The sequence below is a fragment of the Homo sapiens genome, chromosome 3 (assembly GCF_000001405.40).
Source record: "Homo sapiens chromosome 3, GRCh38.p14 Primary Assembly".
In the NCBI taxonomy this organism is placed as follows: Eukaryota; Metazoa; Chordata; class Mammalia; order Primates; family Hominidae; genus Homo; species Homo sapiens.
In genome coordinates this window covers 123,603,282-123,619,012 of record NC_000003.12, presented here as the reverse complement: position 1 = coordinate 123,619,012, position 15,731 = coordinate 123,603,282, and the positions used below count along the sequence as shown (strand labels likewise).

Here is a 15,731-nt window from a genome sequence, read left to right as displayed (position 1 = left end):
AGCATAAGGGGAAGGGGGAGTCTGATCCTTCCTCAGCTTGGGCACAGTTCCTTCTTCTGCCAAAAACCATTTGGCAGCAGGCCAACCTGTCCCCAGGAGAAAGGCGTGCTTATGATTCAGTTCTCAAAGCTGCCTTCTTTGCTAAATCATAGCAACTTTTTTAAAAGTTAGTTTCTTTAAGCTAGAGGCGAGGCGAGAACAACGAGTGAAGAAATGACCTGGTCTTCTTCTCTGTCTTCTAGAAGATGTGTCCCAAGCTTTCCTTGAGGCTGTTGCTGAGGAAAAGCCTCATGTAAAACCCTATTTCTCTAAGACCATTCGCGATTTAGAAGTTGTGGAGGGAAGTGCTGCTAGATTTGACTGCAAGATTGAAGGTAAGTTGTAGCTGTGCTTCTCTTCACCATGAATAGGGTGTGGCTGGATGGTAGAGTCCCTACCATGCACCGTGGGCAAGAAGTCAGTTCTGTGCAGCTGGGGACAATGAGGAACTGCCAAGCTTTGGGGGAAACTGGGTCAGCAGGAGCTGCTCATAAAGGGCTATGCCCTGCACTCCCACCTCCTGAAGGTGTGTCCTTCAGTCACTTCCCCAGGGGGCACATTTGAAATTTCACCTACTTACATCAGCCACTAGACCTAAGTTTAGAAATGGCCTTGCATGGACTTACCTGGCTTTGGAACATGCTTAGTGAAATGAGCTTTGCAAACTGCTGAAAAGCATGTGACTTGCCCATATGAGGCCCTCAAAGGAAGGCTGGCACAAAGGCATAGGATGTGGAATCGGCAGGCTCTGCTACTCGTCCACAGGCTGTGTGACCTTGGATGGTGGTCCAACTCCCCTGAGTTACGGTCCCTCTGCTGTAAGATGATAGCTAAGTCACGGAGTGGCTCTGGGGATTCTGTGAGGGGACATATGTGAGAAGGGGGAACCTTTTAGATCTTGTAAAGATGTCACAGAGCAAAGGGAAAAGTTGTGGGACTGGCAGGTACAGAGAGAGTGCATGCATTGTGACTTCAGACTGAGGCCAGTTGGGAGCCAGGCACCCGGGACAAAGCACTCAGCCGGCACCATCTTCCCCAGGCTGCTTATCTGCCTGCTGGGAATAATGCAGCCACAGACCTGTCAGTGGTCAGAGCTCAAGGGACCTTAAGGGGTCATGGCATAGCACCTGAGAAATGAGCAAAGTTGATGACACAAAGCGTTTCCATTTTCATATAGATTGCAACCGTCTAGAAAGAGAAGGGACAAGATAAGACAGGCTCTTTGCTTCAAGTCTGTGACTTTCACCTGCCAACCAGGGTGGTGGGTTATCACCCATTTTGGTCTGACCAAATAAAGCACAGAAGTTTATTAGGCAACTTTCCCGAGGCCGCATAGCACAGTACAGCAGTCAAAACAAACTGTGCCTCCCACTTTCTTTGATTCTCCAGCAATGTGACTAGACAATGCCTTTTGAGTAAAATAACCCAAAGTTAGGAATGGAAAAAATAGTTTTTCTTCTGCATCTTTATATTATCAAAGTGCCTTATCAATGCTTCGCCTACCATAGTCATTTTCCTTTCCTCACTCAATTAAAAGAAAGTGGATGTGCTGCCTTTGATAATGTGAAAATTCTCGGACTGGGGATTCTGCTGAAGGCTCTGGAGCCACTGCTTGCAATTCTCACCATTACCATTGCATTTGGGTCTTCTGAAGTTTCTTTTCCTTTTTGAATGTTTTAAAATAACATAATGATTATCATTTTGTACTTAATTTTCTCTTTGGGATTGTTTCGTACTTAATTTTCTCTTTGGAATTGTTTCATTGATATTTATGTAACTTTTGCCTGGGGCTCTGATGAGAAATTAAAGCATATGGATGCTGTTTTGATAAAAACAAAATTGAAACTTTTGCACTGAGGGTGCAGGGCATGGGAGTGGAGGGTACTTTATGACCAGCTCTTCCTGACCCAATTTTCCTCATGGTCTGGGTGTTCCTAATTACTTCGAAAAAACAATTTCTAAAATTATTTTGAAAAAACAACATTGAAAAGAACATTAGAATTCTTGATTTCTTATGTATAATTTTTATTCTGGTTAGGGCTCATATTAGCCTGTTTGCATTGCTATAAAGGAATACCTGAGGCTGGAAAATTTATAAAGAAAAGAAGCTTATTTGGCTTGGTGCCAGTATCTGCATCCAGTGAGGCCTCAGGATGCTTTTAATCATAGCAGAAGCAGGCATGTCACATGGCAAGTGAGAGAGCGAGAGAGAAGGACGTGCCACGTTTTAACAACCAGATCCGCATGAAATGACAGAGCAATAACTCACCCATTACCTCGGGAAGGGCACCAAGACATTCATGAGGGATCGGCCTCCATGACCCAAACACCTCCCACCAGGCCCCACCTCCAACACTGGGGATCACATTTCAACATGAGATTCAAGGGGCACAAATATCCAAACCGTATCAGGGCTACAATTTTTTTCCTATAAAAATACTTCACCAACATTTAAGAGAAAGTCAGGTGGAATATATTGTATATTTTTAAATGTATGTATATATATGACTTTAAAAGCGGGGTACATGTATATACTATGTACCTGCAAACAAAATGCATAATGTTGGTAATGCTTCTGTACATATATATGTACACATACACATTAAATACATATAATATATATTTTATATGCATGTGTATTTTATTTTTTAATGCTGAACTTTGCAGAGATATGACTAATGCATAAAGGCTCATTGGTGAGGTCCATTTCCAATTGTCCATAGGCAAATTACCTGCTTTGGATCAGACTAAGACAAATATTGCTTTCTTCTTCTTAGCAATATTATCAGCTCTTTTAAATTATGTTTTATATAGCTGTTATTAGCTTTATTCAGTTATAATTTATATACTATAAAATTCACCTATTTTAAATGCACAATTCAATTATTTTTAATGAATTTATACCACAATCCAATTTTAGAACATTTTCATCACTCCAAAAAGATCCCTTGTTCCCATTTTGTTTTGACTCTTATTTTTCATTTAAATTATTTCACTTAAACTATTATACAAAATTGAAAATTTAGGCTGGGCATAGTGGCTCACGCCTGTAATCCCAACACTTTGGAAGGCCAAGGCAGGCAGATCACTTGAGTCCAGGAGATCAAGACCAGCCTGGGCAACATGGTGAAACCCTATCTCTACAAAAAATACGAAAATTAGCTGGGTGTGGTGGTGTGTACCTGTAGTCTGAGCTATGCAGTAGGCTGAGGTGGAAGGATCACTTGAGCCTGGACATTGGAAGTTGCAGTGACCCGAGATCATGCTGCTGCACTCCTGCCTAGGCAACATAGTGAGACTCTGTCTCAAAAAAAAAAAAAGATAGAAAATTGTATTTTCGGCCGAGCACAGGTAGCTCACACCTGTAATCCCAGCACTTTGGGAGGCCAAGGCAGGCAGATTACCTGAGGTCAGGAGATACAGACCAGCCTGGTCAACATGCTGAAACCCTGTCTCTACTAAAAATACAAAAATTAGCCGGGTGTCGTGGCGTGCACCTGTAATCCCAGCTACTCAGAAGGCTGAGGCACAAGAATCACTTGAACCAAGGAGGCGGAGGTTACAGTGAGCCAAGATCACGCTACTGCACTCCAGCCTGGGCGACAGAGTGAGACTCTGTCTCAAAAAAAAAAGGAAAAAGAAAATTGTATTTTCAATCTAAGAAGGTATTCAGATCTAGGTGTAGAGTTGGAATTGGAGCAGTATTTCAGGTAGTACTCTATTTTTAATTTTTATTTTTTTGCCATGTTGGCCAAGCTGGTCTTGAACTCCTGCCCACCTTGGCCTCCCAAAGTGCTGGGATTACAGGTATGAGCCACCATGCCTAGCCTCAGGTAGTACTCTATGTCTGTTTAAAGATGGGTGGGTGTGGTGGCTCACACCTGTAATCCCAGCACTTTGGGAGGTCAAGGTCAGAGGATCACTTGAGCCCAGGAGTTTGAGACCAGCCTGGGCAACATAGGGAGACCCTGTCTTTACAAAAAAAAAACTTTTTAAAAAATTAGCCAGGCATGGTGGCATGTACCTATAGCTCCAGCTACTTGGGAGGCTGAGGGAGGAGGATCACTTGAGCCCAGGAAGTTGAGGCTGCAGTGAGCCATGTTCATGCCACTGCACTCCAGCCTAGGTGATAGAATGAGACCCTGCCCCCCTACCCCCCAAAAAGTGAAAGGTGTGATGTTTAACTGAGCACGGTCGCTCATGCCTATAGTCTCACTACTCAGGAGGCTGAGAAGGGAGGATCGTTTGAGCCCAGGAATTTGAGCAACAGTAAGCTACGATCATGCCACTACACTCCAGCCTAGGCAACAGAGTGAGACTCATCACTTTAAAAAAATAAAAAAACTATTAAATAAGTTTTTTAATAGGTGGGATGTGGTGCTAGTCCAACATGTGTGGGAAATGGAACAACTTTAAAATATTCTATTTGGGGTTTCAGATATTGGTATTTACAAGACATGTCCATATTCTAATGTAGATATCAAAACAGTCGATAAAGGCCAACATCAAAATTTTCTCCTTAACCACCTTAATCAATAGTGGTAGCTTACAAGTTGCTTGCATGAGTTGATAAGAAATTTTGAATAACAGTTCCTGCAACTTGTGTTCTCTCCCTGTGATGCAGGATACCCAGACCCCGAGGTTGTCTGGTTCAAAGATGACCAGTCAATCAGGGAGTCCCGCCACTTCCAGATAGACTACGATGAGGACGGGAACTGCTCTTTAATTATTAGTGATGTTTGCGGGGATGACGATGCCAAGTACACCTGCAAGGCTGTCAACAGTCTTGGAGAAGCCACCTGCACAGCAGAGCTCATTGTGGAAACGATGGAGGAAGGTGAAGGGGAAGGGGAAGAGGAAGAAGAGTGAAACAAAGCCAGAGAAAAGCAGTTTCTAAGTCATATTAAAAGGACTATTTCTCTAAAACTCAAAAAAAAAAAAAAAACTCAAGATAGTAAAAGCACCTAGTGTGATAGATTATCGGTTAGGTCATTTGTGGGTTGATTCTTCAGAAACAGCAGTTGATACCTAGCAGCGTTATTGATGGGCATTAATCTATGTTAGTTGGCACCTTAAGATACTAGTGCAGCTAGATTTCATTTAGGGAAATCACCAGTAACTTGACTGACCAATTGATTTTAGAGAGAAAGTAACCAAACCAAATATTTATCTGGGCAAAGTCATAAATTCTCCACTTGAATGCGCTCATGAAAAATAAGGCCAAAACAAGAGTTCTGGGCCACAGCTCAGCCCAGAGGGTTCCTGGGGATGGGAGGCCTCTCTCTCCCCACCCCCTGACTCTAGAGAACTGGGTTTTCTCCCAGTACTCCAGCAATTCATTTCTGAAAGCAGTTGAGCCACTTTATTCCAAAGTACACTGCAGATGTTCAAACTCTCCATTTCTCTTTCCCCTTCCACCTGCCAGTTTTGCTGACTCTCAACTTGTCATGAGTGTAAGCATTAAGGACATTATGCTTCTTCGATTCTGAAGACAGGTCCCTGCTCATGGATGACTCTGGCTTCCTTAGGAAAATATTTTTCTTCCAAAATCAGTAGGAAATCTAAACTTATCCCCTCTTTGCAGATGTCTAGCAGCTTCAGACATTTGGTTAAGAACCCATGGGAAAAAAAAAATCCTTGCTAATGTGGTTTCCTTTGTAAACCAGGATTCTTATTTGTGCTGTTATAGAATATCAGCTCTGAACGTGTGGTAAAGATTTTTGTGTTTGAATATAGGAGAAATCAGTTTGCTGAAAAGTTAGTCTTAATTATCTATTGGCCACGATGAAACAGATTTCAACTGATAAAGAGCTGGAGAACTCCATGTACTTTGGAATCTCCTCCAAGATAGCCAGAGTTTAATACATCTTCATTCTCAACACTCTCCAAAGAACTTGACCTACCTTATGGGTTCCATATTTTTCTTCTTAAATGTGCATCAATCATGCCTTGCCCCCAACCTTTAAATATATTCTTAGACCTGGTAAATGCACTCAGACTTGCGTCTTTAGGAATTTTTAACTTTCTTTCACTACATTGGCACTTAAATTTTTTCTTTATAAAGCTTTTTGAAGGTCATAAACAAAGACCATAATTGATGATAGACCTAATACATTTCCTCTGTGTGTGTGTGTAACATTCCAAATACTTTTTTTTTCTTTTCCACTGTTTGTAAGGTGCAACAATTTAATATTTTTAAGGGACTTTTTAAGAGTTCCTTAAGAACCAATTTAAAATTACTTCAGTGCAATCCTACACAGTATCAACATTAGAATTTTGATATTAGTCTTATGTTATCTTCCATTCTATTTTTATCTGCTTTTTGCTGCTAGTTTCAAACTGCCAGTATTTTTCCTTTTGCTTTTAAAATAGTTACAATATTTTTCATGATAGCCACAGTATTGCCACAGTTTATTATAATAAAGGGTTTTTATTTGATTTAGCGCATTCAAAGCTTTTTTCTATCACTTTTGTGTTCAGAATATAACCTTTGTGTGCGTGTATGTTGTGTGTGTGCATGTGTGGCGTATATGTGTGTTACAGGTTAATGCCTTCTTGGAATTGTGTTAATGTTCTCTTGGTTTATTATGCCATCAGAATGGTAAATGAGAACACTACAACTGTAGTCAGCTCACAATTTTTAAATAAAGGATACCACAGTGCATGCTGTTTGTTCAATCTTTGCAGACTTCTCTTTCTTTCCATGCTACCAGTTGTAAAGGACACAGCTATATCCTGGAAATGAAAAACAAACACTGTGGTGCCTAGATGTGAAGAACTGGCTTATGTGGTTGTGTTTTGCTATGGAACAGAATGATTTAGGAAGTTCTTGTTTATATAGGTAGCCGAATTTACACATTTAGTTCAAAATTTCTCTTGAGCATCAGCTTAGTACTATATCAATCATTCTAGAAGGATATCTTATAGAGCAGGTGTCCCCAACCCCCGGTAAGTAGCCTGTTAGGAACCAGGTCACACATAAGGAGGTTAGCAGTGGGCAAGTGAGCAAAGCATCATCTATATTTACAGCCGATCCCCATTGCTCGCATTACCGCCTGAGCTCTGCCTCCTGTCAGATCAGCGGCAGCATCAGGTTCTCTCAGGAACGAACTCTATTGTGAACTGCTCATGTGAGGGATCTAGGTTTCACGCTCCTTATGAGAATCTAACACCTGATGATCTGTCACTGTCTCCCATCACCCCTAGATGGGACAGTCTAGTTGCAGGAAAACAAGCTCAGGGCTTCCACTGATTCTACATTATGATGAGTTGTATACTTATTTTATATTATAATAAAATATATTATTACAATGTAATAATAATAGAAATAAAATGCACAATACATGTAATGTGCTTGAATAATCCCAAAACCACCCCCTCTCCTGGTCCATGGAAAAACTGTCTTCCATGAAAGTGGTCCCTGGTGCCAAAAAGGTTAGGGACCACTGTTACAGAGTATCAGGTCCTCAAGATGCTAAAATCTATATGACATTTTTAACATGTGACATTATCATCATCATCATCATCATCATCACTGATGATACTATTTACCAGGGCATGGTTTGAATTGGTGACTTTGGTGCAGTTCATTATTGGCAGCCAAATGCTTTATCCATACCTTCATATTGAAGAATTTGTTATCAGGAAACTACCAGTCCTGCTTTACAGGAAGTCTGTTATCAGATATCAGATGGCAAGTTCCCCATGTCTTCAGATGTTCAAACAATATTGTGGATGGTCTAGAAAGAGTTTAAGACATGCTGTTAAATGTAGGGCTAGATAATTCTCTGATTCTTTGATGTAGTCTGGAAAGAAACAATCCATTGTCCAGTTAATAAATATTTAGTGTTTTCATTTTTAAGACACTCACAATCCACAAATGTCCCTAACAATTTATTATTTTTAAAGAAAATGACTTTTTATTCCTTGCTAGTGAAAAATGTACAATTTATATGCTGCACTGAGAAAAATAACAGATATACTTTCTTCCATTCATTTTCATCCCAAACATATAAAAAATAATCCATTGATTGTTCCTTGCATTGCATATCTTATTAAAAGATATTTCCTACATGCAACTAATAAGACATGCTGACTGTTGTCAGCTCTAAATTTATGTAAAGATTTTTTATTTTTGTTAAAATGTTTGAAATTTGCTTTTTGCTCCACACCTCACCTGTTTTTGATAAATCTGTGCTAATAAGTACATAGGAGGTAATAAATAATTGAGTTGTGAGAAACCCAATTCTCCATTTTTCAAGAAAACACAAGTAGCACTACTCTCTTTATCCCTTGGGACTCCTTCCTGTAATTTGAAAGGGGGGGCTAATGTTGGTGGCAGTTGTTGCTAAGGATCTCTGCACAGAGTTAGGGCTTCACTCTCGGCTTCCTGGTTAGATGGGGCCATGTGACTAGTCCTAGTCAGTGAGCTGTGACCAGAAGTGATGTATGTACCCTCGGGACCAGAGCATTTATGTGCTGGTACAAGCCTCTCCATAATGACGGGCAACACATGAGATGGTGGCTGCTGCAGCCATCTGGGTCTCTAGCCAACCCAAAATGGGGACATAACACAAGCAAGAAATAAACATTTGTTCTTATAAATCACCAAGATTTTGGGGTTCTCAGTGGCTGCAACATAACCTAGACTATCCTGATACAGGCTTATCACCATGTTCTGGATGTGTGGTGACCAGGATGGTAGCCACTACTCACAAGTGGCTATTTAAATTTAAGTTACTTTAAAAAATAAAATAAAAAATTCAGTTCCTCAGTTGTATGAGTTACATTTCAAATGCTCGACAGTCACATGTACATCACTTTTCAAATTATGTGAAATTAAAACTGAAAAGCTTGTGTGAAAGTCTAGAGAGTATGGTCTATAGTTTCATCAATTGTATTGGATAATATAGTCTCGATACTCAAGTGTTGTTGTTCTTAATTCTTTATTTATATTCAAATATAGTTTTTCACTTTTTAAGACATTTTAAAGGCTGGGTACAGTGGTACACACCTGTAGTCCCAGCACTTTGGGAGGCCAAGGCAGGAGAATCGCTTGAGGCCAGAAGTTCAAGACCAGCCTGCACAACATAGCAAGACCCCATCTCTATTTCTTTAAAAAAAATTAATTAAAAAATAAAAAGACATTTTAAAAGTACCAGTTCTGGCCAGGCGCGGTGGCTCACGCCTGTAATCCCAGCACTTTGGGAGGCCAAGGCAGGCGGATCACGAGGTCAGGAGATCGAGACCATCCTGGCTAACACGGTGAAACCCCGTCTCTACTAAAAATACAAAAAATTAGCCGGGCGTGATGGCGGGCGCCTGTAGTCCCAGCTACTCGGGAGGCTGAGGCAGGAGAATGGCATGAACCCGGGAGACAGAGCTTGCAGTGAGCGGATATTGCGCCACTGCACTCCAGCCTGGGCGACAGAGTGAGACTCCATCTCAAAAAAAAAAAAAAGTACCAGTTCTATGCTTCTGACCTCAAAATCTAAATAGTCCTGCAATTCACAAGCAACTCTCAGATTATTTCTGATATGAGACAACCAACAAGGCCAACATTCTCCAACGTCTTTGGAATTTGCTACTTGAGATGGGGGATCACCAGTGGGGACTATGAGATGGATGCAGAAAGGGAGACAGGGCTGCTGAGGCAGAATTTCCTCAACCATGGGTCAAAAGGCAGAGGAGCCATCCTGAGGCTACAATCCTTCCAAACTCAGCTGCCTTTTATCAGAACTCCCTTCCCACTGGAATTCAAAACACTCAGGAGATCTAAAGTGCTTGGGGACAACATTGAATTTCTAACCGCTGCTGGCTGGAGATTTTAGCCCATAGGCCTTACCCGTGTTCCAAATGCTTATACCCTGCAGGAAGCGCTTCATGTCAGAGACTTCAGTCCCCCGAGTCTCTGTTTGAGGCCTGTGGTAAATTTTCACAAGATATTTTGTGACTCTCTTAGACTAGATTTCTTTCGGCTGGAGATAACTAAGGGAGAAGGAGGTTACAAATTAACCTAAGTCAATTTGGTCATTCATATTTATTATTAATAACATCTTTAAGGCAGGTATCAGTAGCCTCCAATAGTTAAGATAAGATTGAGCTATGGGGCTTCTCCACAACCACGCTTCAGGTGGTATGTTTCAAAGATAGTCTCAGGCCAAACTTGTCAAACACCTATTAGCCAGCAGCCATACAACCGATTCTGCAAGCTCCATGAAGTCCCAGATATGCCTCTCCAGAAAGCACCTTGCATGTTGTCACTGAAGGCAAATCCTGCAGTGTGCTTGGGTAGGAGGCAGCTAACCTGGTTAATCAGTGGAGTCAGTTCCTCTTGGTGCTATCCTAGGAACCAACTTGTCCAACTTACCCACCATTTTCATTCCCTCTGTAAAATAAGTTACTACCTCTTACCTCTACCTCTTACTACAGCTGTGTAGCTTGTGCCTCAGTTTCCACAGTTATAAAATTAGAGTTATAGTAGTTCCTCACTCATGGCTTGATAGAAAGATTAAACAAGCTCTATGTGCCTGACCTTATGGTACGCCCTCATTCTGGCACTCAGAGATGCTAAGATGTATCAGAAACAATCTCTACTCTGAAAGAACAGATTACATTTCTGCAGGAAAAAAAAAACCCCAAATATGTGAAAAAGTTATATTCAGTCAGCCCTCTGTATCCATGCATTCCAAATCTATGGATTCAATCAACTGGAGATGAAAAATATTTGGTGGGAGGCTAGGTGTGGTGGCTCGTGCTTGTAATGCTAGCACTTTGGGAGGCCGAGGTGGGCAGATCACCTGAGGTCAGGAGTTCAAGACCAGTCTGGCCAATATGGTGAAACCCTGTCTCTACTAAAATATAAAAATTAGCTGAGCATGATGGCAGGTGCCTGTAATCCCAGCTACTAAGGAGGCTGAGACAGGAGAATTGCTTGAAACCGGGAGACAGTGGTTGCAGTGAGCCGAGATCACACCACTGCACTCCAGCCTGGGTGGCTGAGCGAGATGCTGTCCCCAAAAAAAAAAAAAAATATATATATATATATATATATATATATATATATATATATATATATATATAAATAAACTATATATGTAAAATTATATATAATATATAAAATATATATTATATATAATATATAAAATATATATACTATATATCATATATATTATATTATATATTATATATAAAATATATTATTATATTTATATATTATATATAAAATATATATATAATATAAAATATAGTATATAAAATGTAAAATATATATAGTATATAAAATATAAAATATATATAGTATATAATATAAAATATATAGTATATAATATAAAATATATATAGTATATATAATATAAAATGTATAGTATATATAATATAAAATGTATAGTATATATAATATAAAATATATAGTATATATAATATAAAATGTATAGTATATATAATATAAAATATATAGTATATATAATATAAAATATATATTATATATTATATATAATATAAAATTATATATTATAAAATATATATTATATATAATATAAAATATATATTATAAAATATATATTATATATAATATAAAATATATATTATATATATTATATAATATATAATATATATTTGGGGGTGGGGAGTTCCACAAAATTCCAAAAAGCAAAACTTGAATTTGCTGTTCACCTAGTACTACATTGAATCTATGTGAAAGAAGTGATGTGTAGGCATTGTATTAGGTATTATAAGTAATCTAGAGATGATTTAAAGCATACAGGAAAATGTGCATAGGTTACATGCAAATACTACATATGCCATTTTATATAAGGGACTTGAGCAACTGCAGATTTTGTTATCTGTGGGGGTGTCCTGGAACCAATACCCCACTAACAACTGTACTAAAGATGGAAGGTATTATTTTAAGTTCTACCCACCTCCCAAAAAAAAGGATCTTTGAAACTGAAAGTGCCATGCAATTGTACAAAAAAACAATTGCTGTGAGTTTAGGAAATGTTACAAATCTAAATCTCGTTCTAAGGAAAATTTTAACTTCCAATCCCTAAATATTCCCTTCTTAACAGTCAAAGGAGAAAAGCTCATCTGACCTTATGAATATTATTTTTCTATCAAGAGGAAATTTCCCAGAGTTAGCTTGACTTAAACTAATTACACTTTAAGTTTTATCCTGACACATCCCCTAAGTTCTAATTGATATTTGCAAAAGCTGACTTACATTGACTTGTTTCTGGCTGCATATTAACCACAGAACAAATAGGGCTCTGAAGGCTGAGTAGATGTCTTTTTCAAATTGTCTAGAAAGCTAAAAACTGAGACTCCTGTTTTCAGAAGAATCAGGAGATGAAGGAAATATCAGCTTAGGAAATAGGAACCTACCACAGTAGAGAGAAAGTCAAACATGAATTACTCAAGAGAAGCAGTGATTCTCTACCCCTCAGAACTTCCATTAAACTGATAGTAAAGGGATAACAATGTTTTTAAAAAAGATGTCCCCGGTGTGTGATGTTCCCCTTCCTGTGTCCATGTGTTCTCATTGTTCAGTTCCCATCTGTGAAGGTAACAAACCTGCACATTGTGCACATGTACCCTAAAACTTAAAGTATAATAATAATAAAATAAAATAGAGATATAAACTCTTCAAATATAAAGACAAATACAGGTGATGATAGATGGAAAATGTCAGAATTATGGAAGATGGAAAACAAAGAATGGATAACTGACGTAGAGCAGAGAAACTGAAGCTAACATCCTGCATTGGAGGAAGCCAACAGAAAGACAAGTCAGTCTGCCCTGAATTCCCCAAAGGCTAGAGGCTAGACAGCCAGGTACCTATGAAAGGGAGCCTCACAAGGTATGACTCATACATGCAAACCAAGGTCTTTGAGGTCAAAGCAGCTCAAAAGTCCACTAGGAGATAAAGGCAGAGGCAGGGATTGTTGGGAGTTAGGACAGAGCAGGGGCCAAGAGTCAGGAGGTTACTCTGGACTCTTCGATACTACCCATGTCAAAGTGCAGAAAAGACTCTGATCCCAGAAAGGCAGTTGTTTGCTTAAGGCTTTTTAAAACACCGATTAGGCTGGGCACGGTGGTTCCCAACTGTAATCTCAGCACTTTGGGAGGACAAAGCGAGAGTATTCCTTGAGCCTTGAAGACCAGCCTGGGAAACATAGGGAGACCCCGTCTCTACAAAAAAAAAAATAAAAACAAAAATAAATTGTGTTTTAATTAGCCGGGTGTCATGGTATGTGTCTGTAGTCCCAGCTTCTTGGGAGGCTGAAGAGGGAGGATTGCTTGGGCCTGGGAGATTGAGGCTGCAGTGAGCTGTGATCACGCCACTACACTCCAGCCTGGGCAAAAAGAATGAAACCCCATTCTTTTCTAAAGAAAAAAAAAAAAAGACAGATTAGCTTCTTTAAAGTTAAATTGGTTGTCCAAGAAGCCAAATCATTTAGACTTTCAATAATGCACCCTCTTAATGAATGCCTTATATTCATTTATTTAAAATAGAAACTCAGTTGACTAATCTCCATTTAATCCAACTTGCCCAACTTAACCACAACTCTCATTCCTTCTGTAAAATGACTAATGCCCGCATACTTCTGTCCCCACTAACTGAGGTGCATATTTACCAAGAGTCAAAATGTGTTTGTTCTTTTTTTTTTTTTGAGACAGAGTCTCACTCTGTCGCCCAGGCTGGAGTGCAGTGGCGCAATCTCGGCTCACTGCAAGCTCCACCTCCCAGGTTCACACCATTCTCCTGCCTTAGCCTCCACTACAGGCGCCTGCCACCACGCCCGGCTAATTTTTTTGTATTTTTAGTAGAGACGGGGTTTCACCGTGTTAGCCAGGATGGTCTCGATCTGCTGACCTCGTGACCCACCAGTCTCGGCCCCCCAAAGTGCTGGGATTACAGGCGTGAGCCACCACGCCCGGCCAAAATGGGTTTGTTCTTAAACTTATTTATGCCAGTTGTACTTGTCATTGTAATTATATCATTTGATTAAGTATTACATAAAGCAACAAAAATCGAGTACTAAGGAGAAAAGTCCTTGTTTCTATGGAAGCTAAATTGAGACCACTTGTCATGCCCGGCAGATTGAACACCTGCATTTTCTCCTGTTTCTCCCAAAACCTAAATAAAGGAACAAAAGGCATAAATCCATAAGGGCAAAGAATGAGAAAGGAGATACATTAGAGTTGAGATGTCAGCAAAATTTTGGAATAGGCTAATTGGTAATTAAGTTTCAACTTTTTCCATTCTGCAAGTGTCTGCAGGGGAGAAAGCCTCAAAAACAAGGTGATTCAGGCTGGGTGTGGTGGTGCATATCTGTAATCCTAGCTACTCGGGAGGCTGAGGTGGGAGGATCGCTTGAGCCCAGGAGTTCAAGGCTTTAGTGAGCTATGATCATGCCACTGCACTCCAGCCTGGGCAACAGAATGAGACCCTGTCTCAAAAACACAAATGAAAAAGGCAAGGTAATTCCTACCACAGAATTAGCAAAAGCAGGGGAACTAGATATTCCCCTCATCTCCTCCTCCTCTAGCCCATATGGCCAGCTGACAGTTCCTCCCCTCGACCCTGGCAGGAAAGTGGATCTTTTAAAGTTGGACTGGAGAGACCACGGACTGGTGGACAATAGGCACAACTTGGTGGGTGAGAGGGAGGCAACTGAGAAAACTCAGGGACTGGGGAGAGTCTGCACACTGACCTTTGAAACTCCAGCCCTCTCCTACTGCTTGGCTGCCACAACTCTGACTACAGGGCAAGACTGGCTACAGAATTTGCAGGGCCCAGTGCAAAATAAAAATGTAGGGCTCCTTGTTTAAAATAAAATTTTCAAGATGGCAAAATTTCTCTTAAATGGTCCAATACTGTGATAAATTTAGTAAGAGTTAAATCTTGAATCCCAAATCTAAGTCAGTTACACAATTTATATGTTAAATTGGAATCACAGGCTAATCTATTTCTCTAATATGCCTTTTTTTTTTTTTTTTTTTTTTTTTTTTGAGCAGAGCATTAGAACAAGTGTGAGGTCCTTCTAAGAGCAGGGCCCTGTGAGACTGCATGGGATGCTGGCCCATGAAGCCAGCCCTGCTGCAGGTTATTCTTGCACAAGCAAGGGATTGAAGGACTGTTCTTGGAAACTGGACAATCTAGAGAAATGACCCACATATACTGTCATATGGGAATTTCTCAATAAAAACATCCAATTCTCATCAAATTGTCAATGTGGGTACTTTATGCATTTAATGGCAATTTTTTGCACACAGAAAAATTATTCAGAGACCAGTTTGTTCTTTTTAATTCATATTTTACCTATTGCAATTTTTAAAACCTAGTTCTTCCTTAAACTTTTAAATTCAATTTCCAGATCTGATTTGGTAGGTTTATAAAATCTACCAAAATGCAATATTAACTTTTAAGGGAATTTTTAGCATCTAATTAATTAATTCCCTTAATCATTTTTAAATCATGTTCATAAATGTAATAAACACCTGTAATCCTAGCTACCTGGGAGGCTGAGGTGGGAGGATTGCTTAAGGCCAGGAGTGCAGTGAGGTATGTTTGTGCCACTGCACTCCAGCCTGGGCAACAGAGTGAGACTCTGTCTCAAAAAACAAACAAACATGGCTGGGTGCAGTGGTGCACATCTGTAATCCCAGCACTTTCAGAGGCTGAGGTGGGC

The 15,731-nt window shown here is 39.7% G+C and overlaps 1 protein-coding gene and 1 long non-coding RNA gene across 26 annotated transcripts in view, besides 1 other annotated feature; one reads left to right on the top strand and one right to left on the bottom strand.

Moving 5' to 3' along the window:
* MYLK (myosin light chain kinase) overlaps positions 1 to 8,964 on the top strand; it is a 274,284-nt gene extending 265,320 nt beyond the window's left edge. For 18 of the 24 annotated variants that reach the window (XM_047448184.1, XM_024453532.2, NM_001321309.2 and 15 more), the window contains 2 exons: positions 243 to 374; positions 4,664 to 8,964. In XM_047448184.1, coding sequence (XP_047304140.1) covers positions 243 to 374; positions 4,664 to 4,908 — 377 coding nt within the window. In that variant the 3' untranslated portion in view covers positions 4,909 to 8,964. The remainder of the gene's footprint in view (positions 1 to 242; positions 375 to 4,663) is intronic. The other 6 variants (XM_017006469.3, XM_047448182.1, XM_011512860.4 and 3 more) reach the window with 1 other exon arrangement.
* MYLK-AS1 (MYLK antisense RNA 1) overlaps positions 1 to 15,731 on the bottom strand; it is a 45,309-nt gene that overhangs the window by 11,809 nt on the left and 17,769 nt on the right. The window lies entirely within an intron of this gene.
* Positions 8,550 to 8,599: an enhancer, noted in NCBI's record as "active region_20394". NCBI's record gives its function as "activates an Ori minimal core promoter by ATAC-STARR-seq in GM12878 lymphoblastoid cells {active_cell/tissue: GM12878}" and the evidence as "EXISTENCE:reporter gene assay evidence [ECO:0000049][PMID:35858748]".